General features: G+C 54.6%; 2 protein-coding genes across 5 annotated transcripts in view, besides 12 other annotated features; one reads left to right on the forward strand and one right to left on the reverse strand.

Moving 5' to 3' along the window:
• Window positions 1-2,454, reverse strand: part of TRAPPC3 (trafficking protein particle complex subunit 3) — a 19,482-nt gene extending 17,028 nt beyond the window's left edge. The window contains exon 1 of the mRNA NM_001270895.2: window positions 2,284-2,454. The gene's annotated coding sequence lies outside the window, so the exon portion shown is untranslated. The remainder of the gene's footprint in view (window positions 1-2,283) is intronic.
• Window positions 2,363-2,752: a silencer, noted in NCBI's record as "silent region_655". NCBI's record gives its function as "represses an Ori minimal core promoter by ATAC-STARR-seq in GM12878 lymphoblastoid cells {active_cell/tissue: GM12878}" and the evidence as "EXISTENCE:reporter gene assay evidence [ECO:0000049][PMID:35858748]".
• On the forward strand, window positions 2,561-27,250 carry MAP7D1 (MAP7 domain containing 1). 4 transcript variants are annotated; one of them, NM_001286366.2, is made up of 18 exons: window positions 2,561-2,864; window positions 17,372-17,716; window positions 17,914-17,982; window positions 18,865-19,028; window positions 19,765-19,879; window positions 21,299-21,409; window positions 22,600-22,722; window positions 22,819-22,982; window positions 23,098-23,243; window positions 24,274-24,602; window positions 24,820-24,997; window positions 25,086-25,224; window positions 25,322-25,426; window positions 25,663-25,716; window positions 25,916-25,958; window positions 26,067-26,157; window positions 26,275-26,468; window positions 26,649-27,250. In NM_001286366.2, the coding sequence occupies exons 1-18, from the start codon at window positions 2,819-2,821 to the stop codon at window positions 26,657-26,659; spliced, it is 2,427 nt and encodes an 808-aa protein (NP_001273295.1). In that variant the 5' UTR covers window positions 2,561-2,818; the 3' UTR covers window positions 26,660-27,250. The 4 variants fall into 4 exon arrangements, with proteins under 4 accessions (NP_001273295.1, NP_060537.3, NP_001375419.1 ...); NM_018067.5 differs by having other exon boundaries at window positions 22,600-22,982; window positions 25,913-25,958; NM_001388490.1 differs by having other exon boundaries at window positions 22,600-22,982.
• Window positions 3,493-3,622: a silencer, noted in NCBI's record as "silent region_656". NCBI's record gives its function as "represses an Ori minimal core promoter by ATAC-STARR-seq in GM12878 lymphoblastoid cells {active_cell/tissue: GM12878}" and the evidence as "EXISTENCE:reporter gene assay evidence [ECO:0000049][PMID:35858748]".
• Window positions 6,777-7,554: an enhancer, noted in NCBI's record as "H3K27ac-H3K4me1 hESC enhancer chr1:36625977-36626754 (GRCh37/hg19 assembly coordinates)". NCBI's record gives its function as "activates a minimal SCP1, AML or CMV promoter by ChIP-STARR-seq in primed H9 embryonic stem cells {active_cell/tissue: H9 hESC(primed)}" and the evidence as "EXISTENCE:reporter gene assay evidence [ECO:0000049][PMID:30033119]".
• Window positions 7,396-7,445: an enhancer, noted in NCBI's record as "active region_744". NCBI's record gives its function as "activates an Ori minimal core promoter by ATAC-STARR-seq in GM12878 lymphoblastoid cells {active_cell/tissue: GM12878}" and the evidence as "EXISTENCE:reporter gene assay evidence [ECO:0000049][PMID:35858748]".
• Window positions 7,596-7,835: an enhancer, noted in NCBI's record as "active region_745". NCBI's record gives its function as "activates an Ori minimal core promoter by ATAC-STARR-seq in GM12878 lymphoblastoid cells {active_cell/tissue: GM12878}" and the evidence as "EXISTENCE:reporter gene assay evidence [ECO:0000049][PMID:35858748]".
• Window positions 8,703-8,842: an enhancer, noted in NCBI's record as "active region_746". NCBI's record gives its function as "activates an Ori minimal core promoter by ATAC-STARR-seq in GM12878 lymphoblastoid cells {active_cell/tissue: GM12878}" and the evidence as "EXISTENCE:reporter gene assay evidence [ECO:0000049][PMID:35858748]".
• Window positions 18,949-20,148: an enhancer, noted in NCBI's record as "MED14-independent group 3 enhancer chr1:36638149-36639348 (GRCh37/hg19 assembly coordinates)". NCBI's record gives its function as "activates an origin of replication core promoter dependent on BRD2, BRD4, P300/CBP and CDK7 cofactors, and independent of MED14, by STARR-seq in HCT116 cells {active_cell/tissue: HCT116}" and the evidence as "EXISTENCE:reporter gene assay evidence [ECO:0000049][PMID:35650434]".
• Window positions 21,751-21,840: a silencer, noted in NCBI's record as "silent region_657". NCBI's record gives its function as "represses an Ori minimal core promoter by ATAC-STARR-seq in GM12878 lymphoblastoid cells {active_cell/tissue: GM12878}" and the evidence as "EXISTENCE:reporter gene assay evidence [ECO:0000049][PMID:35858748]".
• Window positions 23,921-24,568: an enhancer, noted in NCBI's record as "H3K4me1 hESC enhancer chr1:36643121-36643768 (GRCh37/hg19 assembly coordinates)". NCBI's record gives its function as "activates a minimal SCP1, AML or CMV promoter by ChIP-STARR-seq in naive H9 embryonic stem cells {active_cell/tissue: H9 hESC(naive)}" and the evidence as "EXISTENCE:reporter gene assay evidence [ECO:0000049][PMID:30033119]".
• Window positions 24,569-25,214: an enhancer, noted in NCBI's record as "H3K4me1 hESC enhancer chr1:36643769-36644414 (GRCh37/hg19 assembly coordinates)". NCBI's record gives its function as "activates a minimal SCP1, AML or CMV promoter by ChIP-STARR-seq in naive H9 embryonic stem cells {active_cell/tissue: H9 hESC(naive)}" and the evidence as "EXISTENCE:reporter gene assay evidence [ECO:0000049][PMID:30033119]".
• Window positions 25,215-25,860: an enhancer, noted in NCBI's record as "H3K27ac-H3K4me1 hESC enhancer chr1:36644415-36645060 (GRCh37/hg19 assembly coordinates)". NCBI's record gives its function as "activates a minimal SCP1, AML or CMV promoter by ChIP-STARR-seq in naive H9 embryonic stem cells {active_cell/tissue: H9 hESC(naive)}" and the evidence as "EXISTENCE:reporter gene assay evidence [ECO:0000049][PMID:30033119]".
• Window positions 25,389-25,683: an enhancer, noted in NCBI's record as "tiled region #618; HepG2 Activating non-DNase unmatched - State 16:ElonW". NCBI's record gives its function as "activates a minimal TATA promoter and a strong SV40 promoter by Sharpr-MPRA in HepG2 cells {active_cell/tissue: HepG2}" and the evidence as "EXISTENCE:reporter gene assay evidence [ECO:0000049][PMID:27701403]".
• Window positions 27,251-27,321: the final 71 nt, after the last annotated feature.

Consider the following 27,321-nt stretch of genomic DNA (forward strand, 5'->3'; position numbering starts at 1 on the left):
TGTGAGGATGGTCCTACGCAATGTAGGATGGTAAACAGCATCCCTGGCTTCTACGCGGTAGCTGCCATGTTTAGAGACACACCCCCCGCCCACCGCCGTATGTCTCTAAACATGGCTAAATGTCTCCTGGGGGGCAAAATTGCCCTTGGTTGAGAACCCCCTGATGTAGGCTAATACCAGGGGCTCTTTTTAGTGAGCTCCCCACAGTCAATCCCAAAGACAATAGATTTCCAGTTCTAAAGTCTGCTCACCCTTCCTCTACTGAAAAACCCCATAATCTTCAACAGCTCCCCATGCTTGTTTCCAAGCATTTGGCATTCAAGTCCTCCTACGTGGGCTGTCCCTGGCCTATCTGTTCATTTTTAGCTGCCATTTCCACCTCCACTATTCCTTTTGTTTGTTTGGCTGTTTGTTTGTTTTGTTGTGGCAGGGTCTCATTCTGTTGCTCAGGCTGAAGTGCAGTGGCATGATCTTGGCTCACTGCAACCTCCGCCTCTGGGGTTCAAACGATTCTCCTGCCTCAGCCTCTGGAGTAGCTGGGATTACAGGCACCCACCACCACACCTGGCTAACTTTTGTATTTTTGGCAGAGACAGGGTTTCACCATGTTGGCCAGGCTGATCTCGAACTCCTGACTTCAAGGATCCTCCCACCTTGGCCTCCCAAATTGCTGGGATTACAGTGTGAGCCACCACAGCCAGCCACTAGTCTTGAGCCGTAGCCAATGTGGGTATCTCGCGACTCCCATCCATCCATCCATCCATCTCCATCCCTGCAGTAATCTCAAGACAAGGGGTGGGAGGTGGGAGAAGAACCATTCCAGAGGGCTCTCTCCCCATACGTGTTCCTGAATTCTCCTGAGTCTGGTCACTGCCTGAGTCAGGTCTGGCCTGTCCAGCTCTGGAAGAGGCAGGCTGTGAGGCCCCTGACCTCACAAAGGACTGTCATGAACTCCGTCATCCCCGCAGTCCCCCCACCCTGCAGATAAGATGACTGACACAAAGATGGGGGATCTGCTCCTCGTCCTTCCACTTTTACTCATCAATGCCTTCATCACCATTATACTTGTTTACTGAGCACTTCCTAGATGCCAGGTTCTGTGCTCAGCACTTCATTTCCATTGCCTTATTTAATCTTTACAAAGACCCCAAGATACCTCATGGCACTACTATTTTTCTGATTTTGTAGGAGAGCAAATTAGATTTTAGAAAAGTTAAGTCACTAGCTCAAGGTTACTGGCTCCAGTTGCCGCCCTTCTATCATCATCCTTTTCTAATGTTTTTGGGCCAGAGGGGACACTATTCCCTTCCCAGGCCTTCCCAAGAGTGTCCAAGCCCCCAGATACGCACACATCCCAGGACAGGCTGCTCCCAGGTTGCCTGAGCCCCTGACCCTTTTGTTTCCCACTCTATCCCTCCAAATGGCCGCTTTCTGGAGCTGCTTAAAGGAAGGAGAAACTGGAGGGAAGGGGGGCAAGGGGGACAGTATCTCACTGGGCCTAATCTCTGGACAATGAAGAACTAGAGAACTGACCTTCTAGAAGTCAGGACAAAGGGCAGGGCCAGGGTGGGCAGGGCACAGCTGCCCCTCCTCCTCCCCCGCAACCCAAGTCCCTGCAGCAGCACCACCATCATCCATCCACCTTCCCAGCAAGCTCCCCACTCTGCCCCGGGCTGGGCCTGGCTTGGCTTGAAGCCCTCACCTCAGCTGGCACCAACAAGGGGGCTGGGAGTCCATTCTGGAGGGCTGGGAAGCAGGGCTACTTTGGGGAGTGGATTCTGGAGGGGGTCACCACCCCCTCATCGACAGACCACTGGGAGAAAATCCTTCTGGGGTGATTGGCGGGGTCGTCTGGTGGGGGTGGGGGAGGTCCAGGGCTAGGACCACCCAGTTTGGAGCCGGGAGGGACCCAGCAGATTAGAGACCTGGGTAAGGCAGCTGCGCAGGGCTGTAATTACCCCCAGAGGAGCAGGGAAGACACAAGCGCAGAATGCCGGAGCAAGGGCGGCAGCAAGGCTCCCAGACCTGTCCCCAGCCCAGCCATCAGCAGGGGAGAGAAAGCGAAACCCTTTCAGGGGTCTCCTTGTGACTCTCCTTCATGCCTCCCGACGTCCCCCGGGCCGCTTTGGTTTAGGTGGGTTTGAGCGAGAATTTGGACTCGAAGCTGCCCTCTCAGCCCCAGTGCCAGAGCCCCCAAACTCCAGGGTGGGAAAGGGGAGTCCCAGCCCTGCTCCCCCTCTCCCCCAGTCCCCGCGGCGGGTGAGTCACCCGAGCGCTCCCTACTTAGTCCTCAGGCGCTGCGGCGCGTACCAAGACGCGGACGCAGGGGGAGGCAGCTAGCGCGGCGAACTCCTGGAGCCGTGGAGCCCGCTCGGCCGTGGCCGTGGGAGAGGCGCCGGGAGGCTGCGGGCGCGGGGCTCCGGGGCGGGGGCGGCGCGAACGGCGCGGACGGCGCGGGCGCGGGGGGCTGGGTCCCGGGGCGCTGCTGGGGTGGACCCCCCCGCCTCGAACTTGGTACGCGCCAGCGAGAGGCCAGGCCCAGCCCGGGCGGTACAATAGGGTTGGGCCGAGGCCGGGACTGGGCCGGCGCCGGGCGGGGAACGGGTTCGCGACCGCAGCCGAGAGACCCCGGGCGACCGGCACCTCCGAGACTCGCGGGCCACCTGCCTCGACCTTCCCCGGAGCGCCCCCGCCTCCGAGTCGCTACTTGCCGGGCCGGGCCGGGCCGGGCGTGATGCGCCGCGGGACCCCTGTCCTGGCCACTGGCCGCCGCCGCCGCCGCCGCTGAGACCCCGAGACCCCCAGTGACGCCGCAGCCATGGAGAGCGGCCCGCGTGCGGAGCTGGGGGCGGGCGCACCCCCAGGTATGCCGGGAGCCACGCGGAGGCGAGATGGGGGTAGATGGAGGGGCTGCAGGGCGGCCGAGGATGAGGCCGGCCGGCTGGGCGGGGACCCCTCCGCTGCCGCGCCCTCTGACCACTTGGAAGTTTAAAAATAAAGGCTGCGGCGGCGGCGGCTCCAGGCTCGCGATGCATCCTCTGACAGCTGCCCCCTCCCCCACCCCGGGTGCCGGACGCATCGGGCGTCGGGAGCCGCAGGGACCCCGCGCGGGAGTTGTTGGGGTGACCCTTCTGCCCCAGCTTAGTGCCATCTCAGCTTCCCCGCCCCCACGTCCCTTCCCGATTCACCCCGGGCCTTGAAGATCCTCTTCTACTGAGCTAGGGCTTCCGTCCCCTTCCCCATCCCCCGTGGCACATGTGACCCCAGCCTGAGTGTGTCGGGGGTCCATATTCTCAGGCCTGGGCCCTGCATACCGACGCCTCGGCCTTAGTGCCCGTACCCTCAGGCCCTGGCCCAGACCTCGCCCCCACCCCATCCGTCCAGCTGCCGCGCAAAGGGCCTGTTGCTGCTGCGGGCCGGCGGGGAGGGGAAAGGAGGGAGGGGAGGAGAGAGGGAGGTCTCTAGCCGCTGCTGCCAAGTAACCCGCCGGATAAAGGCGAGGGGGAGGGGGAGGCGGCATTGTTTGGGGTGAGGGCGGGAGCTGGGGAGTGGGCCGCCTCCCCTGCAGCCAGGCCTACTCTGGAGCCCACCCAGCCTGATTCGGGGAGGAGGGGGACAGAAGTAAATCTGCTTCTCCTGCCTGCCCTCCTTCCCAGCCTCTCTGGGCCCCAATCTCCCACTAGAGAATGAGGTAAAGGCTCCAAGCCGGCACTCCCTGGACCTGCCACATCATTCCCCAGCCTGAGGCTTTGATACCTCCCCCCTTACTCTCTTTTTTTCTCTCTTTCTGCCCACACCTTAGACCACCAAAGCTCCCCTCCCCTCCCTCACCCCACCAACCACCAGTGCTCAGGACTTCTGCAAATCCCATTCGGATCTGGGAGCAGCTGATGAGGGGGTGGGGACAGGTTTCTGGTTGGGCTTGGTTTTGGAGGGAGGCGATTTCTCTTTCTTCCTGGAAGGGGAGGGAAGAACATGATTATTGAAGACCCAAGTTCTGTTCCCATTGACTCAGGGGGGAGGTGGCCCCATCCCCACACCCCCATGGAGTCCTGAGCCTAATCCTGTCACCTCCCTGCCCCTTGGGGTGTGGGCACAGGATGAAACAGTTCGTGTGGGTGCGGAGAGCCCAGGATAAGGTGGGGCCAATGGGCTGTGGGTGGGCTCCTCCCCATGCCAGCGAGGATGCTTCTAGGGGACTGTCTGGGTGTGGGACCTGGGAGAACAGGGAGGGGAGGCTACCATCAGACTGGTGGGTTTCAGGAGGCTTGTAGGCTGGGCTGGAAACAAGGGTGGCTGGGTCTGTCCTGGTTTGGCTGAACCTGAGAGGGGACACCCAGGGAGGCCCAGCCTGAGTCCAACCTCAGCTTACTGGCCCTCTGCACCTGAGGGCCTCTGGCACTGGATAGTTGGGGGCCTGAATGGGGGTGGTGACTGGGATACAGAGCCTGAGCTGGTGGCTAGTTTATAATTAGGATACTTGGGTAGGATGCCTAGACTGAATATGAGAGCATGGGTGAGATGCTTGGCTCTCCTAGGGGCAGGGGGGATGTTCGGTGGGCGGGGAGGGCTGCGTCAGGGGCCGGTGGGCAGACTGCATATAGGCTTCTTGCATTGAGAGGACTCTTCTATACACAGGGATCTAGATGGAGTCACATGAGAACCTGGATCAGGATGGTGGCAGTTCCCCACACAGAATAGTCAAAGGTGACAGGAGTCCTCTGTGGGGCTTTCTGGGAGTAAATGTGCTCACAGCATGTGCCCTGTGATAGTCTGAGGCATGGGCCTGACACTCCGAGAGCATGTGACACGAACCCTGCTCCCTCTGAGTTCCTTTTTGCACTTGGACACTGAGCAGTAACAGGGGGTGGTGTGGAGTAGAGGACAAGTGTGGGGACCACTTTCAGGTCAGAAAACCTGGATGGAAATCCCAGTTAGCCATGTACTGGCTACTGGACTGGAGCAAGTGACTTACCTCCTGGAGCCACAGTTTCTGCCCCTGGAAAATAGGGGCAGTGTTGTCAACCTTGTGGGGTTAATGTGAGGGTTAGAGATGATTTAACTCAAGGAATCTGGCACGCAGACACCAGACACCTGCAATAAAGTGTTATTACCATTATTGTGGTTATGCTTCTGCAACCGGTGCCAGCAGGGAGGTATGAAATATAGGGGAGGGTGGGAGCAGGAATTGGAAGTCGATTTGTTTAAGAGTGTAGATTTTGGAATTAAACAGTTTAAGTCTCCACTTCGTAACTTACCTCTGTGTGACCTCAGTAAGTTGCTTAACCTAAGTCTTAAGTTTGCTCATCTGTAAAATGAGAATAATGCTAGAAATTATCTCATAGAGACATTGGCATCCTTAAATTAGATGAAAACAGAAAACACTTAGACTAGGCCCTGGCACATAGCCAGTGCCCAATAAGTGCTAGCCATTTGTTATTTATTTATTTATTTATTTATTTATTTATTTATTTTGAGACAGAGTCTTGCTCTTGTCACCCAGGCTGGAGTGCAATGCCACGATCTCGGCACACTGCAACCTCCGCCTCCCAGGTTCAAGCGATTCTCTTGCCTCAGCCTCCCGAGTAGCTGGGATTACAGGCGCCTGCCACCGCGCCCGGCTAATTTTTGTATTTTTAGTAGAGACAGGGTTTTGCCACATTGGCCGGGCTGGTCTCGAACTCCTGACCTCGTGATCTTCCCACCTTGGCCTCCCAAAGCGCTGGGATTACAGGCGTGAGCCACCACCCCCAGCCTAGCTATTTGTTTTTTGTCATTATTTTTAATTCCGTCAGAAGCCTGAGATGTGATTGATTAGAATTGTAGGAGGTAAGTATAGGACAAGAAGGCAGCGGAGAGGGGAGTTCTAGGCAGACATGAGCTAGGGTGTATCCAGGGAACGGAGGGGCCCCATACCTGAAGTGGAACAGTGGGAACAGGAGAGAAGACCCAAGAAACAGGTGCAACCGGCTATCCAGCACACCCATGCTGATGCCCCACCTTATGCCAGCTCGGTGTAGTCTATGTGGACGGCAGAGAAGTGAATCAGACGGAGTTTTGACTCTTGGGGAGCTCTTAACGCGGCGAGGAAGGCAGATGTGTTCACTGCAGGGAAACCAGGTATAATGGTGTTAGTGTGCAGTGGGCTGTGCTTGTGGAAGGCTTCACGGAGGAGGCAGCATTTGAGGTGGATCTGAAAGGATGAGTAGACGTTGGTGAGACTGGCGCAGTGGGCTGTGGCCATACATCCAGCAGCCAGCTGGCTGGCACCTCCCAATGACAGCTTCCTAGTCCCTTCCTGGGCTGGTGGGCCCAATAATGAGGCCTCTAATGAGCCCCTAATGTGCAGTCACGCATATGCAAATGAGGTGGAAGGGATACTAGGCCAGCTCAGGTCCCCTTTCCTAACATGATAGTGGGGAAGGGCTGAGGGAAGGGACTGAAAGCTGGGCCCAGACTAGAATGGCCATACTTGAGGGCCATCAGGTCAGGTCTCAGGTCTGACCCAGGCTGGAAGTTAGGCCACAGGGCAGCTGGGACCCATGTCCTTAGGTCCCTGCTGGGCCTTGGGGCTAGTGAGGGAGCCAACTAGCCAGACCCAGATAATGCAGCTTTGTTGGCTGGTGGTATCTCTGCCTGGCACCCAGGGGCACAGCCTTCAGTGTTTCCTCCACCACTTCTCAGCTGCAGCTCTGCCCTGAAGGGAGCAGAGAGCCTGGGAGGGTGTAGGGAACATGGTACTGCTGCCCTTACTAGCGCTCCTCAGCAGTTGTAAGAGATGATGTGAGCCAGGTAGAGACTCCCCGGTGAACCAAGTTATTTCCCATTAATTATCTCTGACTTATTATCTCCTATTCATTAAGGGCCTTCTCTGTGCCAGGCACAATGCTCAGCATGTCACGGGCATTGTCTCATTTGTTCCTCACCACAGTCTCATGAGTAGGGACTAGCATTATCCCCATTTTACAGATGAGGCTCAGAGAGATGAAATCACTTACCTAAAGTCACACAGCTAGCAACTGGCAGAGGCAGGATTTGAACTCAAATCTGTCTGACTCTGAAGTCTGTGCCCTAAACCTCTAAGCTGAATTATCATGGCTAAGCTATCCAGTGACAAGGTCTGGCCTGCTTCCCTCCCGTGACTGGCCTGTGTGGGCATCTTGGTCTTGGGGACCCCATAATCTTTTCCCTGGCTGGCAGAGGTAGCCCCAGCAGAGCCCAGGGTCCTCTGGGAAGCCTGCCAGGTTGGAGCCTAAGCAGTTGAACCAGGAGGAAGGCCCCGGACCCAGGTGGTGGTAATAGTCCAGCTGGGGGGGCATCTCCAGGCCTTGGCCTGAGGTTGGGCCTCTGCCTTCAGCATCTGGGCAACAGCCTGGGCAGCCCTGCTGGGGCTGAGGGAGGGATGTGGTGGGGCCCAGGCTGCGGGATGGGGTCATTTCCTGCCGCCTAAAATAACAGGAAGTGGGTGCTCCTGATTGGAGGCTGGGAACAATGGCCGCCAGCCGGGCCAGAGAGCTCCTTCAGATCTGTAGTCTCAGTCGGGTTCCCGGCTTTATCACCCACAGAAGCCGGTGGCCTGGTCCCAGTGCCCCACTGCCCAACTGCTGGAGCACGCTGCCCTCTCCTAGGGCACTCCCTCTCGGAGCCGGCTTAGCTCTGTCCAGGCCAGGGATAATGCTGCCCCCTAAGGGTCCCTCCTCTCCCGGCCCCACAATTAGGCATTCCCCAGAGTTTGCCCTTTCTACTGACCTCCTATTCTCCCAGCCCAGATCTCTCCAGGAGAGGGAACCCAGGAGGCTGTCCCCACTGGGATGCAGGCAGGGTAAAGACCGTCATGCTGATTGGGTCCAAACCCCAGCTTTGCTACTCACTAGCTGTGGAGCTTAAGTAAGTGTCTTAATCTCTGAACCTGTTTCCTCGTTTGTAAAATGGGGTAATAATATCTACCTCATAGGATTATGGCAAAGGTTAAATGAACTAATGAGTTTAATGTGTTTAGCTGTGCCTGACAAAAGCATTAGCTGTTGCTCCTGTTAATCGGACTTTCTCTGGGCCTAGGGAAATAATTTGCTCAGAAGGAGCAGAAGTGACCTGGATGACGCTGTATAAATATTCCGGGGACATTGTGTCTCTGTGTGCTGTGTGTGTCTCTGAGGCTTTGTCTGTTTCTTAGAGGAGGTACCTGGCCCCGTACTCTGTGGGTACATCTGTGTGTCTCAGATATGTGTAGAGTTTTGAATCCCAGTAAGTCTGTTTCCTCTGCATGTGTGTGTGTGTATGTGTGTGTGTGTGTGTGTGTGTGTGTGTGTGTGAGAGAGAGAGGAGAATATGTCTTGTCTCTCGCCATTGTGCAGGCCCTGTTTACATTGTCTGGTGTCTGTCTCTGTTGTGTGCACGTCTGTCTCCCATGTGTCTCTGCCCTCTGCCTGCCTCTGTCTTCGCCTGCTCTAGTGTTGTCACCTAGGAATCTGCAGTGAGGGCCAGGAGGGCTCTTGCTAGAGGTGCTGATCTCTGTTCTGTCTTCTCTCGGCCTCGTGCCTCTGCCTCTCCCATGCTTCCTGCCTGAGGTGCTGTCTGTGCACCCCCCACGCCACAACCAGCCCTCACCCAGGCACTCCCTCTCGCTGCCCCTGGAGGTGGGCTGTTCTCCCCTACCTCACTTCCCGCCTCTTGGGAGCCAGCCTGGGCAGGAGCCTGCCTTCCCTACATTCCTGTGCTCTGAGCTCAGTGCCTGCTTGCCCCACCTGCACCCTTCACTTTTGTGGGGGAAGTCTCCCTGGGGGAACCACGGAATCACTTCCTTCTTCAGAGAACACGCAGGAGCTTCAGGGCGGGGTAATGTGACTGCCTACCAGAAACAGCATGACATAAGGGTTTTAAGGGTTTTGTCATCAGACAACTCTGGATTCAAATCCTACCTCTGACACTGGCATGAACAATCCACTTAATCTGTCTGAGTAAATTCTCTCACCTGTGAAATGGGGGCCATCATAGAACTTTCCTTTTAGGATTGTCATCAGGATCAAATGGGATAGGGAAAGTGCTTGGTTTATGTTAGAGCTTCAGTAAATTAGTTTGGGCCTGGAAACTGGCTGGGGACATGCAGGTTCTGAGATGAACATGACATTTAGTGTTTAGAGAGACTAAGCTTTGGAGCAGCTTGAGGGTCTAAATACACACTAGCTAGGTAGCTTTCTACAGTACCCCCACCCACATATCTACATACCCAGCCACCCACCCACCCATCGGACATTCATTAAACAGACACAGAACTCCCACTCTGTGCCAGGCAGGTCCTGTATAAGACTCTGGGGCTGCAAAAAGGACTAAGACTGAGTTTCTTCTCTTGATAAGCTCTCACACTGACAAGGGCAGGGGGTGGCAGGCAAACAGAAAAGCTAGACTGAGTTATCAGTGTTGTGAGAGGAATATTTGGCCCAACAAGAGTTGTTGGGGTGGGAGGAGGGAGAGACAAAAGGAAAGGACTGCCAGCTCTCAGAGGGTGGAGATGGGGTGTTAGTATTCTGAGACATGTGACAGTCTCTCTGAGGGACTTGGCCCTGATCTTTCTGCAGACCCCAGGCACAGCCCCTCTTGGAGCTCTTAGGAAGACAGGACTTTTTGACCCCACAATGCAACCCACCACTGCACTTTTGCCCTGCTAATGCTCTTTGTGCCAAGAAATAAATACAAATTATTTGTCTCTTATCTCATTCTTAACAAATACTTCTGGTAGATATTAGTGTAGCAAAATAAAACCAACAGTGGCAAAACCTCACAATCTGGCATAGACCAAAAATAAGATAAAATTAAGTAGCCGAAGGATCATATTTGATGGTTAAAAATGAGAATGATCATAAATAGATTAACCATACTGTATAGATAACTAACCAAGGAGTTTTGGCTTAATGTGATTTGCTCCATAACACTGTGCCAATGACATTTCATCAGGGTTGGCATAATTGTGAAGAAAATATTTGTATTCAGGGTCAATAGTGTGCCAGGTCACAAGAGGAGTTCCAAACTTCTTGTTTGCCTCTTGAGAAGTTTTTCTTGTTGAGCTGCTGGAGTAAACACTCATTATTATTTTTATTAACTTCTACCTGTGTGGCTTAGTCCAGGAAGCTGCCCAAACACTATTGAGATGGAGTTGTTTTGCTTCTCTTCAAATGTTTATCTTTTTGCTATAAGTTGCCACATAGATATATACTTTTTTTCTTTTTTTTTTTTTTTTTTTTTTTTTTTGGAGACAGCATCTGATTCTGTCGCCCAGGCTGGAGTGCAGTAGTGCAGTCTCAGATCACTGCAGCTTCCACCTCTGGGTTCAAGGGATTCTTCTCTCAGCCTCCCAAGTAGCTGGGACTACAGGTGTGCACAACCACGCCCAGCTAATTTTTGTAGTTTTAGTAGACATGGGGTTTTGCCATTTGCCCAGGCTGCTCCCGAACTCCTGGGCTCAAACGATCTGCTCTCCTTGGCCTCCCAAAGTGCTGGGATTACAGGCGTGAGCCACTGCGCCCAGCCTAGATCTACTCTTTATTAGAGTAAAAATCTTCTATATGCTTTAGGCTAGGGCAGCCTCATAGTATAGCACTTTATTTGTGTTATACTGTTTATTCAAATATTTTATGACTATCTCCGTATACTTGGCACTGTGGTAGCTGCTGGTGATGCAGCAGTGAGCAAAGTAGACATGGCCAGCTCTTGTGGGGCTCCCTCACCTTCTAGGAGGAGGCTGACAATAAGGAAAGAACCATGCAAGGAAGTTTAAAATCATAACAGTGACAGTGTTCCAAAGGCACATGAAACCATGACTATATACAACAAGGGAATTTATCCTAATCAGAGAAGCCAAGGAAGGCTTCCATGAGGAAGTGATGACTGAACTAACATATGTAGGGCAAATAGGAGTTAGCTAAGAAAAGAGAGTATGTGCAAAGGCCCTGTGGCAGGAGGGAGTGTGGATGGTCATCAGCATTAAAGGAAGGTCAGTGTGGCTGGAGTTCAGAGAGCAAGCGGGGAGCAGGGTAGGAGAGGAGATCCAAGAAGTAGGGGGAGGGAGTCAGGAACTTCAGATTATACTATTATACTGGACTAGTAGGGTGAGTTCAAGAAGGGGAAGCCACTGACAAGTTTCAAGTGGCAAAGAGCACCGTGATCAGATTTGCATTTGCTCTGGCTGCTCAGTGGAGCAGAGAGTGGGAATGGGTACAGGCGAGCAGTGAGAGGACTTTGTAGTCATCCAGGTGAGAGCGATGATGGTGATGATGATATCTGCCTGGGTGTAGTTCATTCATTTCTTCATTCAACAAATAGTTATGGAGCACCTATGTGCCAGGCTCTGTTGGCCCTAGAGATAGACCAGCTAACAAAATAGGCAAAAATTTGTGCCCTCATAGAGATTATATTCTAGCAGTGGGAGACTTAAAATGGTGTTAATGCCTATGGAGAAAAAGAAGACTTGGAAAGAAAAATCTAGTTGGAACTGGGAGGGAGACTTCAACTGCAGTTTGTAGTTTTATTTAATTTTTTTTCTTTTTCTGAGACAGCATCTTACTCTGTTGCCCAAGCTGGTATACAGTGGTATAATCATCGCTCACTGTAGCCTCAAACTCCTGGGCTCAAGGTATCCTCCTGCCTTAGCATCCTAACTAGCTGAGACTACAGGTGTGCACCACCATGCCCAGCTGTTTTTTATTTTTTAGTTGAGATAGGGTCTGGCTGTGTTGCCCAGGCTGTTCTCAAGCTCCTGGCCTCAAGTGATCCTCCCACCTCAGTCTCCCAAATTGCTGGGATTACAGGTGTGAGCCACCTTGCCTGGCCTTTATTTAATTTTATTTAAAATTTTTCTTTTTTTTCTTTTTCTTTTTTTTTTTTTTTAGAGACAGGGTTTTGCTTTGTCACCCAGGCTGGAGTACAGCAGCATGCTCATAGTTCACTGTAACCTCAGTCTCTATTTCAGCATGTCATGATGCCTGGGTAATTTAAAAAAATTTTTTTAGAGATGGAATCTCACTATGTTGTCCAGGCTGATCTCAAACTCCTGGCCTTAAGGGATCCTCCTGTCTGGGTCTCCCAAAGTGTTGGGATTACAGGCATAAGCCACCGCACCACGCCTGCAGTTTGTAGCTTTTTTTTTTTTTTTTTTGGAGACGGAGTCTCACTCTGTCATCCAGGCTGGAGTGCAGTGGCACGATCTTGGCTCACCGCATCCTCTGCCTCCTGGGTTCAAGTGATTCACCAGCCTCAGCCTCCCGAGTAGCTGGGATTACAGGCACATGCTACCACACCCAGCTAATTTTTGTGTTTTTTAGTAGACGGGATTTCGCCATTGTGGCCAGGCTGGTCTCGAACTCCTGACCTCAGGTGATCCACCTGCCTTGGCCTCCCAAGGTGCTGGGATTACAGGCGTGAGCCACCGCTCCCAGCCCAGTTTGTAGTTTTAAATAGGGGCTAAGGGAAGGCTCCATTTAAAAGTGACATCAAAATAAAGACCTGAAGGAGGGGAGGGAACGAGGCACGCAGAATCTGGGGGCAGAGAATTCAAGGCAGAGAAACAGCCACTGAGGAAATATTGTTTCCTCAGTACAAAGCCCTGAGGCAGAAATCTCCCCAACACCCTTAAGGGACAGTGGCTGAAAAACTGAGCAGGGGGAGAAGAGGAGACAAGGTCGAAGAGGTCAGGATCCTGGGGAGTCCTTAATAGGCTATCATGATGACTTTGGCTTTTTCTTCCCCTCAAATGAGGAATCATTGCAGGATTTTGTCAGAGGAGTGACGTGATCTGACCTTTTTTTTTTTTTTTTTTGAGACAGAGTCTCCTTCTGTCACCCAGGCTGGAGTGCAGTGGCGCTATCTTGGCTTACTGCAAGCTCCACCTCCCTGGTTCAAGCAATTCTCCTGCCTCAGCCTCCTGTGTACCTGGGACTACAGGCGCCTGCCACCATGCCTGGCTAATTTTTTGTGTTTTTAGTACAGACGGGGTTTCACCGTGTTGGCCAGGATGGTCTCGATCTCCTGACCTCGTGATCTGCCTGCCTTGGCCTCCCAAAGTGCTGGGATTACAGGCGTGAGCCACCGCACCCGGCCAATCTGACTTATTTTTAAACAGAATCACTCTGGCTACTGTGTTGAGAAAAGACCCAGGGGGAACAAAGACTGGAGCAGGGAGTCTTTTATCAGAGCTGATAGTAGCTCTGATCCAAGTGATAGAAGTGGAGACAGTGAGAAATGATTAGATTTGAGATCTGTTTTGAAGATAAAGGCAGAAGGATTTGCTGAGAGATTAGACATGAGGTGTGATGTAGTTGTCATTAACTGAGATGGGGAAAATGGGGAGAAGCAGGCTTTTGGGGGAAGATCAGCAGCTCAGTTTGGGATGTGTTAAATTGGGGGCATCTTTGAGACACACAGGGGTGTCAAGCAGCTGGGAGTTGCATGAGTGAAACTAGACCTCAAGGGAGAGGCCTGGGCTGGAGACACAAATTTGGTTGTCGTCAGCAGTGATGGTATTTAAATCTGTGAGTCTGGATGAGGTCACCAAGGGAGTGCGTGTGGATAGAAAATAAATGAGGTCCTCCACTCAGCCCTAGGGCACTCCAGCGCTGAGAGGTTGGGAAGTTCAGGCAGGATCAGCAAAGATGACTGAGAAATGACAGTCAGCAAGGTAGAAGGAAAACTAGGAGAATGTGCTGTCTTCAAAGCCAGGTGAAGACAGTGTTTCAAGGAGCAGTCAGAAATCAACTGTGGCAGATGCAGCTGCATAGTGGCCAAGGAAGATGAGGGATGGAAAACTGCCTGCTGGATTTAGCAGCATGGAGGTCACGGGTGTCCTTGAGAAGTGCAATGTTGCAGAGCAGTGGGGGTAAGGCCTGGCTGAAGCATTTCCTCCTGGCAGAGATGAGGAGACGTGGATATATTCTTCGGGGCAGGTGCTGCTTACCAAGCCCCTGCCAGGTGCCACCGATGATGTACCCGTCTGTACCAACTCCCCATGTGTGCCAACAACTCCATGAGGGAACTGTGGTTACACAGGCTCAGGGCTTGCCCGAGGTTCGCCGGGAGCCGAGGTCCTCAGTCAGGCCTGTCAGACTCTGAAGCCTGTGACCTTTCTGCTCCACTGCATCTGATGCCTGGGTGCAGGTTCTTCCAAGCCTCACTCCTCTACCTCCTCCCAGCCTCCTTTCACATAGCGAGTCAGGACCTTGCTGGGGACTCACTGACTGTCTTGCCTGGTGGGTGTGATTTGCCTAGGTGTAGACAAACACCCGCCTACCAGTTTTCCTTGCAACACCTGCAGCACGCACAGGTGCTTGGAGAATGGCAATAAACAGACCTCACCCTCAACCTTCAAGCTTAATACTTACACACCCAGGCTTTGGCTTCAGACAGTCCTGAGTTCAAATCCCAACTCTAGGCTGGGTGCGGTGGCTCACGCCTGTAATCCCAGCACTTTGGGAGGCTGAGGAGGGCGGATCACGAGGTCAAGAGATGGAGACCAGCCTGGCCAACATGGTGAAACCCCGTCTCTACTAAAAATACAAAAATTAGCTGGGTGTGGTGGTGCCTGCCTGTTGTCCCAGCTACTCTGGAGGCTGAGGCAGGAGAATTGCTTGAACCTGGGAGGCAGAGGTTGCAGTGAGCCGAGATCGCACCACTGCACTCCAGCCTGGCAACAGAGTGAGACTCCATCTCAGGAAAAAAAAAAAAAAAGCCCAACTCTGCCACATACTAGTTCTATGACTCTGTGTGGATCACTTTGCAGGTTGGGCCTTGGTTGCCACACTTGTATAATGGGGATAAGAATCTCTGCCTCTCAGAATTGCGAGGACACAGGGTGCACCACTGTTAGTGAGTAGTAAGCACTCACTAGAGTGAGTAACTGGTTTTGTTGACTACTGGAATTGGTAAAGGAGTTTGCAGTTGGCTGGGAAATAGATTAGCAGTGACCAGGCAGCCGTCTCCTGCTGGTATGGGAAGAGATGGGTGGCTTGTCATGTAGCCTAGGAGTTGGTGGAGTTGGTGGAGTTGGAGGGGTAATGGGGAAGACAGGGCCTCAGCTGGGGCTCTTGCCTGGATCCTAGCAAGCTGGATGGGAAGGAATGAGGCGGAAAATAGTGTGAGCCTCAGATAATTTATTGCGTAACACCTATTCCCTCATATTGCCTTCAACAAGGCAGGAGGGTATAATGGGTAAGGACAGGCTCTGATGATGGCTACTGGGTCCAAGTCCAGGCTCCCTGACTGACCAGCTGAATGATCTCAAATTACCTCTTTTTTTTGCTTCATCTTTTTTTACTTTACTGTCCTCATCTATATGAGGACTCCTTCATAACTATTGTCAGTGAGGATTAAAACTAATAACATATAAGGCCGGGTGCAGTGGCTCATGCCTGTAATCCCAGCACTTTGGGAGGTCGAGACGGGCAGACCACCTGAAGTCGGGAGTTCGAGACCAGCCTGGCCAACATGGTGAAACGCCGTCTCTACTAAAAATACAAAAATTAGCTGGGCGTGGTGGCAGGTGCCTGTAATCCCAGCTACTTGGGAGGCTGAGGCAGGATAATCACTTGAACTTGGAAGGCAGAGGTTGCAGTGAGCCGAGATCGTGCCAATGCACTCCAGCCTGGGCAACAGAGCAAGGCTCTGTCTTGAAAAAAAAAAAAAAAGGCCGGGCGCGGTGGGCAGTGGCTCACGCCTGTAATCCCAGCACTTCGGGAGGCTGAGGCGGGCGGATCATGAGGTCAGGAAATTGAGACCATCCTGGCTAACACCGTGAAACCCCGTCTCTACTAAAAATACAAAAAATTAGCCAGGCGTGGTGGCGGGCGCCTGTAGTCCCAGTTACTCGGGAAGCTGAGGCAGGAGAATGGGGTGAACCCAGGAGGCGGAGCTTGCGGTGAGCCCAGATTGCGCCACTGCACTCCAGCCGGGGTGACAGAGCGAGACTCCGTCTCAAAAAAAAAAAAAAAGAAAAATGTTTCCTTAGATGAAGCTTCCCACAGATGCCGGCCCTGCTCCCTAAGCAAGTTGGTAGCTGTGTTCCCATTGATCTCCTCAGTGCCTGGATGGTAGCAGCAGATGGCACCAGGGCTCAACATACAGAAGCTTCTGTTTGGGAGACCAGGAGGCTTCATAAGACCAACAGGGAGTGCTGTTTGCTGGCTGGCATGTGGATAGTGCCAGGCACCTTGCTGACATTCCCTACTAGCTTGGGCTTGTTATCCCCATTTTACAGGTATCAAAACTGAGGCTGAGCCAGGCATGGGCCTGTAATCCCAGCTACTTGGGAGACTGAGGCAGAAGGATCTCTTGAACTCAGGAGTTTGAATCCAGCCTGGGCCACATAGCAAGACCCTATCTCTTAAAAAATAAAAATTTAAAAAAAGAGACTTAAAGGAACTAACTAGACCCTTGAAAAATTCACTAGCAGCAAGTAGACTTGGGGGGAAACAAAACAAAACAAAACAAAAAAACCTGAGGCTGAGAGAGGTTGACTGGCTTGTCCATGGTTGTCTGCTGGGGAAACAAGCCCTCTCTTCCCATCTTCCTCATCTGACTGACTCTGAAGCCTGTCTCTCAATTGCCCCACATGTGTATATGTCAAATCGTGTGGCTCCCTTACTTCACTTCGATGTCTTTTACAGGATTCCTACAATAGTCATGTCTTAAAAGCAGAAATTTCGGTGTGGCTTGGGGAAAAAAGATTATAAAGTGGACGTAGCTTGTTGCCAATGGAATCTTCACAGCAAAGCATTCCACTAGAGCCCATACTTACGTCCTTCCTCTTGGTCAGTCCCATGTGCCCAGCACTGGCACCCTCTGTGAACAGACCTTGGGTTGGGCACAGTCACCCAGAAGTAAAGCAGAAAGGAGAGGGAGGCAGACATGGAAACAATCAGTGCATTTGGTGCACGAATAAGTGCTACAAGCTTGTTCTCAGCTTTTCCAACACACCCTGCTCCATTCTGCCCCTTCGCATATACTCTTCTCTGCCAACACCTCTCCTCCTTGCTTTGCTGACTCCAGCTTATCCTTCGGATCTCAGCTTGGTTGTTACTTCTTCAGCAAGCCCTCCCCATATAGGTTAACTATCTCTGCTTTGCTGCCCCAGACATAGTATTTATTCTCTACTGTAGTTGCCTAGCTATTTGTCTGTCTGCCCTGCTAGAGGGTAAGCGCCACAGAGGCAGGGATCATGGCTATTTTCTCACCATTATATCATGAGTATCTGGAACAGGGCCCGGCACATAGAAATAACTCAAACATAAGTGAATGAAGAAGTCGGTTGAACAAGGGAGAGGGCCACATATGGGGCTGATGGCACAGATGAGCAATCTGACCTCTCTCCTCTCTTGTGTTGGTCTTTCAGCTGTGGTCGCCAGGACCCCCCCAGAGCCAAGACCTTCTCCAGAAGGTGACCCTTCCCCCCCACCACCACCAATGTCAGCCCTGGTCCCCGACACTCCCCCGGACACCCCTCCTGCCATGAAGAATGCCACTAGCTCTAAGCAGCTCCCACTGGAACCAGAGAGCCCCTCAGGGCAGGTCGGGCCTAGGCCAGCCCCCCCGCAGGAAGAGTCCCCTTCCTCTGAAGCAAAGAGCAGAGGACCCACCCCACCAGCCATGGGCCCACGGGATGCCAGACCTCCTCGAAGGAGCAGCCAGCCATCTCCAACAGCAGTGCCAGCCTCCGACAGCCCTCCCACCAAGCAAGGTGTGTGTAATGACCCCGGCCTGGGCCTAAACCTCTTGGCTCAGGGTCCTGGCCCTGGATCATGCCAACTGAAAGAGTCCTGTTTGCCCTAGAGGAGATAAAGAAAGGATGGGGTGAGGCCCGGAGGGAGGGATCTGAGGCTGACTCCTCTTTGGGGACAGCCTTTTGACCTGTCTGTTCTTGTTCCCTCTGCTCAGAGGTGAAGAAGGCAGGAGAGAGACACAAGCTGGCAAAGGAGCGGCGAGAAGAGCGGGCCAAGTACCTGGGTGAGTGAGCAGGAAGCCTCATCATCTTCTTCATCGTCATCATCAGCATCCTATTAATAACACCAACAGGCTGGGGCGCAGTGGCTCACGCCTGTAATCCCAGCACTTTGGGAGGCCGAGGCGGGCGAATCACCTGAGGTCAGGAGTTTGAGACTAGCCTGACCAATGTGGAGAAACCCTGTCTCTACTAAAAATACAAAAAATTAGCCAGGCATGGTGGCACATCCCTGTAATCCCAGCTACTCGGGAGACTGAGATAGGAGAACTGCTTGAACCTGGGAGGCGGAGGTTGTGGTGAGCCGAGATTGTGCCATTGCACTCCAGTCTGGGCAACAAGAGCAAAACTCCGTCTCAAAAAAAAAAAAAAAAAAAAAAAACCAACACTTCTGCAACACTTAATTATGTGCACTGTGCTAAGAGCAGGACACACATCTAATTTAATCCTCAACCCATTTTGAGGAGGAAACAGAGGCTCAGAGAGATGAAATCATTTGCTTAAGCCACACAGCTAGTAGAGTAGCTGACATTCAGACCCAGAAGCCTCCTGCCACCCCAAATCCCATGCTCTTAATCACAGTATGTGGACATCTGTCTGGTAGGCCCCCCAGGTCAGATGGGGATCTTGCACTCAAGCATTCATTTCTCCTTCAGCCCTGAGAGCCCATAAGGCCAATGGAGGAGAAATAGGCCTCTCCTGAGTCCTGTCTTCAGTAAGCCTCTCAATTTGAGGGGGTTGTCTCAGACTGAAAGCTCCACCTAAGCAGGCGGGAGAAAGACCCACCCAGGGCATGGGTAGCAGGGCTGGCCACTTGGAGGAAATGTCCTTGGCCCAGGCCTTCTGCAGAACCCTTCACACACGCCACTGGGCTCCTTTGTCCACAGCGGCCAAGAAGGCAGTGTGGCTGGAGAAGGAGGAGAAGGCCAAGGCGCTGCGGGAGAAGCAGCTCCAGGAGCGCCGGCGCCGGCTGGAGGAGCAACGTCTTAAAGCCGAGCAACGCCGTGCAGCCCTGGAGGAACGGCAGCGGCAGAAGCTCGAGAAAAACAAGGTGCGGGATGGGTCTCCGTGAATCCATGTACACGTGTGCTCACCGTCTGCATACTGGTGCAGTGTGTACACACATCCATGTTCACGGCTCTGCCTTATCTGTGTCTATGTGGTCCTATTTGTGTTCACATCTACAGTTGTGTCCCTGTGTTAGAATATCTGGGCACCTGTACAACTGCAGGCACATTTGCTTCTGAATGTGCCACTGTAGGCCCCTGTAACTGTTTACTGTCAGTACCTGTGTTCGTACATGTACCCCATGTGTCTGTATGTATGCAGGTATGCATCTGTGTGAGCGTGCCTAGCTCTGTGACATGGGTAAAGCCCTAGCTTGAGTGCTGGTGAGGAAATGAAGGAAATGGCCACCTGGCCCTACCTGGGAGGGCCTCAGGCTAGAGGGAACACATAGCCCCAAGGTCAGGACCCTCAGTGCCTGAGATGTGGCCTTGCCTGGGAGCCCCAGGTAGGGGGAGTCCACCCAATCCTCAGAGAATCAACTCATGCACTCAGGAAATGACTCAGGAACAGTGAAAAGCTCCCCAAGAACAAGTTGAAAGGGATCTTGGTCCTTAATCATAGCAAGGATTTGGTAACCTTGGTTACCTGCAATGAGTCAGGAAAAGACTCCAAGGGAAGGGAGTGGGGGAGGCATTGTCACAGGAGGAAGAAGGGCCTCTATCCCAAATTCGATGAATGTTCTGAGTCCACATCTCTCTCTTCTCCCCACCTTCCCCCAGGAGCGCTATGAAGCAGCCATCCAACGGTCAGTGAAGAAGACGTGGGCCGAAATCCGGCAGCAGCGCTGGTCCTGGGCAGGGGCCCTGCACCACAGCTCTCCAGGACATAAGACCAGTGAGTAGGCTGGAGGGGCTGGGGAGTGGGTGGGCAAGGCTGGGATGGCAAGTAAGGGAAGGGAACAACTTCCCTACAAAAAGCTGGTGGCTCCCTGCAGCAGGTGTGCCTTGCTTTATGTGACTTGTGTCTTCTAGAATGGTCTGTAAGCCAAACTGTCCCTTCCCAAGGACTTCCACTATCAAATCAGAGATGGATTCTCTCCATTTGGTTTGCTCTTCAAACCTCTGTCATTTTAGGATTAGCCTTCTTTGCGCCTGTCAATTATTATTAGTTGTTGATACATAAAAGACTTTAATGACCTACAGACACTGGATCTTAAAGAAACTGTCACTCCTTGTCTCGGAAGGTAGATTTTTGTCTCTGAGTTTTCTCCGCGTAGGGCCACCATGGATTTTGGTCTGATTCTTTGCTGGCATGTATGTACCACTGTGCTTGGATGTCTTTATGCAATGGCAAGTTTCAGTATTTCTAGCTGTGTATCTTCTGTTTATGTGCTCCTGGACCCGTGCATTGTGTGTCTTAATATGTGTTTGCCTTGGCGTGTTTGTGACCTTGTGTACCTCAGTGAGGGCTCCTAAGTCAGACAGACTTGGGTTCCAGCTCTGGCACTTGCAGCGTAACCTTTAACTTCTCGAAGTCTCACTTTCTTCATCTATAAACTGGGGATAGTGATACTACTTGCCCCTGAGGTGGTAGATAGATGTTTGAAGGATCAAATGAGGTCACATGTGTGTGGTGCCCCACACAGTACCTGGCACATGGTAAGCATCAACAAATGTGAGCTGCTACAAATGTCATGATGAGGTTGCTTCGATCTGTTTGTGGCTTGTGTGCATCTGGGTCTGACACACTATCTGTTAGTGTTTGTGTCTCTGTCCCTGTGCATGTCTGCACACATGTGTGCATGCCGAAGTATCTGCCACTCTATATGCCTGTGTCTGCATGTCTTTTTGTGATTCTGGATGAACACGTGGATTTGTGCAAGTGACTGTGACTGTGTAGGTCCTGTTTAGGAGGGTTTTTGCATTTATCCCAGTACGGGGGTGTTGTATCCAAACGTCTTGGCTGGGCAGTGTCAGCAAGTGCTAATGCTGGGTGGTTATGGGGAGGGGTTGCAGTACTCAGCCGTAAGGAATGGCTTCCTTGGTCTGGCCAGGAAAGCTGTAGTTTCTCTAGTTTTACTCATCTCCTCCCTTTGTTCCTTCTCCGTCGGCTCCCCCAACCCAGGTTGTCTCTGGTCACCTACCCCCCCACCCTCCCTCTCCCAGGGCCAAGGCTGCCTCCTGCTCCTCATCCTAGCCTGCCCACTCCTCCCTCTCCCACCCCGCCCTCGGAGCATCCTGCATGGAAGGCCTCGGTGCCCCCCACTGGCTCCTGCCGGGCCCGGCCCTAATGCCGTGTCTTTTCCCCCTCCAGGTGGGAGCAGGTGCTCCGTGTCGGCAGTTAACCTGCCCAAACACGTGGACTCTATAATCAACAAGCGGCTCTCAAAGTCCTCTGCCACGCTCTGGAACTCCCCCAGTAGAAGTAAGAGAAGGCCCAGCCCTTCCCCCTCCAGAGCCCCTTGTAGCTCCCACCAAGCCTCCTCCAGAGCTCAGCAAGAACACCAGGTCCCTGGAGCCCTCACATACTCCAGGTCCCCATCCCCACTCTACCTTACCCAGGGCTCTGTGCCCCTCGGGGGAGCCGGCATATGGGTCTGGACCCTGAGGACAGAGGTTGCCCTGTAGGAGAGGAGAACAGAGACAAAGCACAATGCCGCAGAGGGCAGGAAGCCTGGCAGGAGCCTCAAGAGCAAGTTGGAGGTGGTGGCTGGGGGTGGGGACAGGCAGGCAGCCTTTTCTGCAACCACAGCCAGCTGGTCTGGGCCAACCTTAGCCAGGTGGCATTGTCCCCATGTGTCAGACTGGCCTGGGTGCTGTGGGGTGGAGGGGTCCCTCATTCTGGCTCCACCCTAGAGGGCCCATGCAATCCTGCCCTCTCTGTCTTCAGAGCCCCAGTCATGGCCTTGGCTGGTCCCAGAGTTGAGCCAACCAAGGTGGCATAGCCCCTGCATTCCCACCATGCCCTGGTGCTCATATGTGAAGGAGCCATGGTGGGAGTTATTTATAAGTTTCTCTTGCATTTGTTTGGCTGCTTTGTTGCCTAGCAACCAAATCAGCTGCTGTACCAACCCCACCTGACTGAGGCTTAAAAATAGCCCAGCAGCTGAGGGGACAGAGCAGGGTGGCCTAGGGCAGGCAGGCACCCTAGCAGCCTCTCCCTGGCACAGGACTGCTAAAAGCTGGGTCAGAGGAGCACAAGGACCCTCACTGTCCTGAATCCATGGGACAGCCTCGGCTGGGTCAGCCCTCTGACAGCAGGAGGGGCAAGACCTTACACTGGGACATGGCAGAGGGCAATTGGGTTTTCTTCCAATCCTGGATGGCTCCTTCCTATATGCGCCGTTCAGGGCCCCTTCACCTGGGGAGCGTTGTAGGCGGGGACCCTCATCCGATGCAGGATGTTGCCCTGGGAAGTGTCTGGTTGCCTGGGTCTGTAGTGGAAGTCCAGATCATAGGGAGGACAAGTGTGGCCCCGGTGTGATTGTGGGGAGAGGACTCCCGGGTGAGAAGCCTTGGCCTTGGCATGGGGATGGTGCCTGGTCTGCTCCCTTGCCTCTTCCTGCCTCCTACGGCCCCCACGGTGACCGGCTTCGCCTGGCCTTCTACCCCCAGATCGCAGCCTGCAGCTGAGCGCATGGGAGAGCAGCATCGTGGATCGTCTGATGACGCCCACTCTCTCCTTCCTTGCTCGGAGTCGCAGCGCGGTCACACTGCCCCGCAACGGCCGGGACCAGGGTAGGGGCTGCGACCCTGGGAGAGGCCCCACGTGGGGCCGGGCAGGGGCCAGCCTGGCGCGCGGGCCGCAACCCGACCGCACTCATCCCTCTGCAGCCGTGCCGGTGTGCCCGCGCTCGGCCTCCGCCAGCCCCCTGACGCCGTGCAGCGTCACCCGAAGCGTGCACCGCTGCGCCCCCGCCGGTGAGCGCGGGGAGCGCCGCAAGCCCAACGCCGGGGGCAGCCCCGCTCCGGTGCGCCGCCGGCCGGAGGCCTCGCCGGTGAGTGGCTCTACTGGCTCGAGTGGCCGCGCAGGTGGGGACAGGCAGCCTGGAACTGGGGTACGCGGGCGCTGCTGACCTCTACTCTCCTCTTCCGTTCCTCCTTCCCTGCCAGGTGCAGAAAAAGGAGAAGAAGGACAAGGAGCGGGAAAACGAGAAGGAGAAGAGTGCCCTAGCCCGGGAGCGCAGCCTCAAGAAGCGCCAGTCGCTGCCCGCCTCCCCACGTGCCCGCCTCTCTGCCAGCACCGCCTCTGAGCTCAGGTGGGCGCGGGCGGTGCGAGGGACCCTGCCCCTCACCGGGTCATTTATTCATCACCCACAAATATTTGTTGGGCAACCACCTCTAGAATGCAACTTCCCTGAGGGCAGATTCTCTCTGTTTTGTTTGAGACAGGATCTCCCTCTGTCACCCAGGCTGGAGTGCAGTGGCACAATCTCGGCTCACTGCAGCCTTGACCTCCCAGGCTCAGGCTATCCTCCCACCTCAGCCTTCCAAGTGGCTGGGGCTACAGGCGCGCCACCACGCTCGGCTAATTTTTTGTATTTTTGGTAGAGTGGGGGTTTCGCTACGTTGTCCAGGCTGATCTTGAACTCTTGAGCTTAGGTGATCCACCCGCCTTGGCCTCCCAAAGTGCTGGGATTACATGTGTGAGTGTAAGCCACCCCGCCCAGCCTCCATTTTTCTTTTTGTTCGTTTTTGTTTTTGTTTTTTTAAGTGTTTTGGTTACTGAAGTACCCCAACACCTAAAATAGTGCCTGGCACCTGGTAACCACTCAGTGAATACCTACTGAAGGGCCAGGGTAGTGCCTCACGCCCGTAATCCCAGCACTTTGGGAGGCCAAGGGGAGGATTGCTTGAGCCCAGGAGGTCGAGGCTGTAGTGAGCTATGTATGATGATGCCACTGCACTCCAGCCTGGGGGTCAGCCAGATTCTGTCTTAAAAACAACAACAACAACAACAACAAAACCTGCTGAATGAATGGACCTGTCAGGTAGCACTCAGGGTGCTGAGGACACGTTGCTGAGCTAACCCAAGCATGGTTTTTTCTCTTATTAAGCTTACAGGCTATTGGCGGGGGACATACAATAATCAAAGAATCCCACAGAAACATGTCATTACAAACTGGGGTGTATGCTCTAAAAGGGAATGGTGTGTTTCTGTGAGAGCAAGGGGGCGGGGGGCGGCGCTGATGTAGCCTGGGGGAGGGGGCACCTCCCAGAGGAAGGAACAAGTTCTCAGCGTGTGGGTGTGTGTGTCTCCTAACCCTTCCCTTTTCCCTTTTCTCTTAGCCCCAAATCCAAGGCCAGGCCATCCTCTCCCTCCACATCCTGGCACAGGCCTGCCTCCCCCTGCCCCAGCCCAGGGCCAGGCCACACTCTGCCTCCAAAGCCACCGTCCCCCCGAGGCACCACTGCATCCCCCAAGGGGCGGGTTCGGAGGAAGGAGGAGGCAAAGGAGAGCCCCAGCGCCGCAGGGCCCGAGGACAAGAGCCAGAGCAAGCGCAGGGCCAGTAACGAGAAGGAGTCAGCAGCCCCAGCCTCACCGGCACCTTCGCCGGCGCCCTCGCCCACCCCAGCCCCGCCCCAGAAGGAGCAGCCCCCCGCGGAGACCCCTACAGGTAGGAATGAAGAGAGGGGAGGGGTGGGCCGAGCGAGAGAAGCCAGCTTCTCCTGTGTGGGGGTGTGGGCCGCCAGAGATGCCTGAGGACTGGGAGTGGGACATGGAAAGAGGAGACTCCTGCCCTCAGCAGTCCCAGGCCCAGAACACAGGCCGCTGGGAGATGACGGCGGTGTCTGCGTGGGTGTGCTGACGCCTGATCCCGGATCCCCCTCCAGACGCTGCTGTCTTGACCTCACCCCCAGCCCCTGCTCCCCCGGTGACCCCTAGCAAACCAATGGCCGGCACCACAGACCGAGAAGAAGCCACTCGGCTCTTGGCTGAGAAGCGGCGCCAGGCCCGGGAGCAGCGGGAGCGCGAGGAGCAGGAGCGGAGGCTGCAGGCAGAAAGGGACAAGTGAGTGCGCCTCGGGGACTGAGGGGGCCCTCGTGGGCGCTGGAGAAGAAGCAGAGGCCGAGCCTGAGCCGTTTGCTCCGTCCCCCAGGCGAATGCGAGAGGAGCAGCTGGCACGGGAGGCCGAGGCCCGGGCGGAGCGGGAGGCGGAGGCCCGGAGGCGGGAGGAGCAGGAGGCACGAGAGAAGGCGCAGGCCGAGCAGGAGGAGCAGGAGCGGCTGCAGAAGCAGGTGCCCCCGGCGGGCGGGAAGCGGCTGGGCGCGGGCGCCGCGGGCCGGGAGGGAAGGCTGGAGTCAAGTGCCCCACGCTCATGGGGGTCTTTGGCAGAAAGAGGAGGCCGAAGCTCGGTCGCGGGAAGAGGCGGAGCGGCAGCGTCTGGAGCGGGAAAAGCACTTCCAGCAGCAGGAGCAAGAGCGGCAAGAGCGCAGAAAGGTGTGCGGACCTGGGCGGGGATTTGTGGGCGGGGCCTGGGCAGGGCGGGCCAGGTGGGCGGGGCCTGGGCTTAGAGCGGACAGGACGGGAAAGCGCTGGGGCAAATTCCAGTTCCTGTCCTGGAGAGGGCTGCTATGAGCTGGGAGGCCCTAAGACTCCGAGGCCGGGTCTGGCTGGTGGGAGGTTTAGGATTAGGGGCGGGGCTCGAGCCTAACTGATCTGCGGCCTCCAAACAGCGTCTGGAGGAGATCATGAAGAGGACTCGGAAGTCAGAAGTTTCTGAAACCAAGGTCAGAATTCCCCCGAAGGGCAGTGCTGGGCGTGGGGGGCAGGGTGTGAAAAGGAGGCTGCGGAAAGGCATCCATGGCCACGGAGAGCGAGGCTGTCAGGGAGGCCGCTGCGGCCCGGGCAAGGGGAGGGCCGAACTCAGTCCGAAGTGGCTGGGGCCGGCTGTCCCTTGAGCCTGACTGCTCTTCCTCTTCAAAGCAGAAGCAGGACAGCAAGGAGGCCAACGCCAACGGTTCCAGCCCAGGTAAAGCCCCCATTCCTCTCGCCTCCCTTCCCTTTGCCATCCTCCTCCTCCTCCATCCTCACCTCTCTTGCCAGCCCCTGGCTGATGGCCCCTCTTTCCCTGTGACAGAGCCTGTGAAAGCTGTGGAGGCTCGGTCCCCAGGGCTGCAGAAGGAGGCTGTGCAGAAAGAGGAGCCCATCCCACAGGAGCCTCAGTGGAGGTACCAGCTTCCAATCCCAGGGTCCCTGAGCAGGGAGGCAGACTGCAGCTGGAGCTGCGGGGTGGCCTGGGCTTTCCTGGGAGGTGAGGTGCTGAGCCTTGGCCTCTGCATCCACAGTCTCCCAAGCAAGGAGTTGCCAGCGTCCCTGGTGAATGGCCTGCAGCCTCTCCCAGCACACCAGGAGAATGGCTTCTCCACCAACGGACCCTCTGGGGACAAGAGTCTGAGCCGAACACCAGAGACACTCCTGCCCTTTGCAGAGGCAGAAGCCTTCCTCAAGAAAGCTGTGGTGCAGTCCCCGCAGGTCACAGGTAGATCTCCTGATTCCTGGACCCAGCTCCATTCCTCCCAGCAGCCTTCCCTGTACTCCTCAGCCCTGCCTTCTCTTCTGGCTCTGCCAGGCACCCTCTCCTGCTCCACCCTGAAGACCCCCAGCTATCTGGGCTTGAGTGCTGTTTGCCCTGACTGTTTCCCTTCCTGTTTTTCCCCAGAAGTCCTTTAAGAGGGTTTGCCTTGGATCCGGGCACAGTTGTGAGGGCTCCTCTGCATCACCTACCAGGATGTCTGGAGGAGAAAAAGACAGAACAAAGATGGAAGTGGCCTGGGCCCCTGGGGGTGGGTCCTCTCTGTTGTTTTTAATCTGCACCTTATAGACTGATGTCTCTTTGGCCGGAGCCAGATCTGCCCCTCAGTGCATTCGTGTGCTCGCACGCGCAGACATCCCTTCTCCCCCATACACACATATACACTCACAGCCTCTCTGGCCTCTTCCCTTGGGGAGGGGCCACCTGTAGTATTTGCCTTGATTTGGTGGGGTACAGTGGATGTGAATACTGTAAATAGCTTGTGCTCAGACTCCTCTGCGTGGAGAGGGTGGGTGCAGGAGGCAGACCCTCCCCCCAAAGCCCCCTGGGGAGATCTTCCTCTCTCTATTTAACTGTAACTGAGGGGGATCCCAGGTCTGGGGATGGGGGACACCTTGGGCCACAGGATACTGGTTGCTTCAGGGGTACCCATGCCCCCTGCCCTCGCCTGGAATCAGTGTTACTGCATCTGATTAAATGTCTCCAGAAATAAAGAATAATTCTGCCAATCCTGCCTGTTCTTGGAGCTGGTGGCGGAGGTGGGAGCAGATGGCCTCCTGAGTTCTAAGAACTGAAGAAG

The sequence above is a fragment of the Homo sapiens genome, chromosome 1 (genome assembly GCF_000001405.40).
Source record: "Homo sapiens chromosome 1, GRCh38.p14 Primary Assembly".
NCBI lineage: Eukaryota > Metazoa > Chordata > Mammalia > Primates > Hominidae > Homo > Homo sapiens.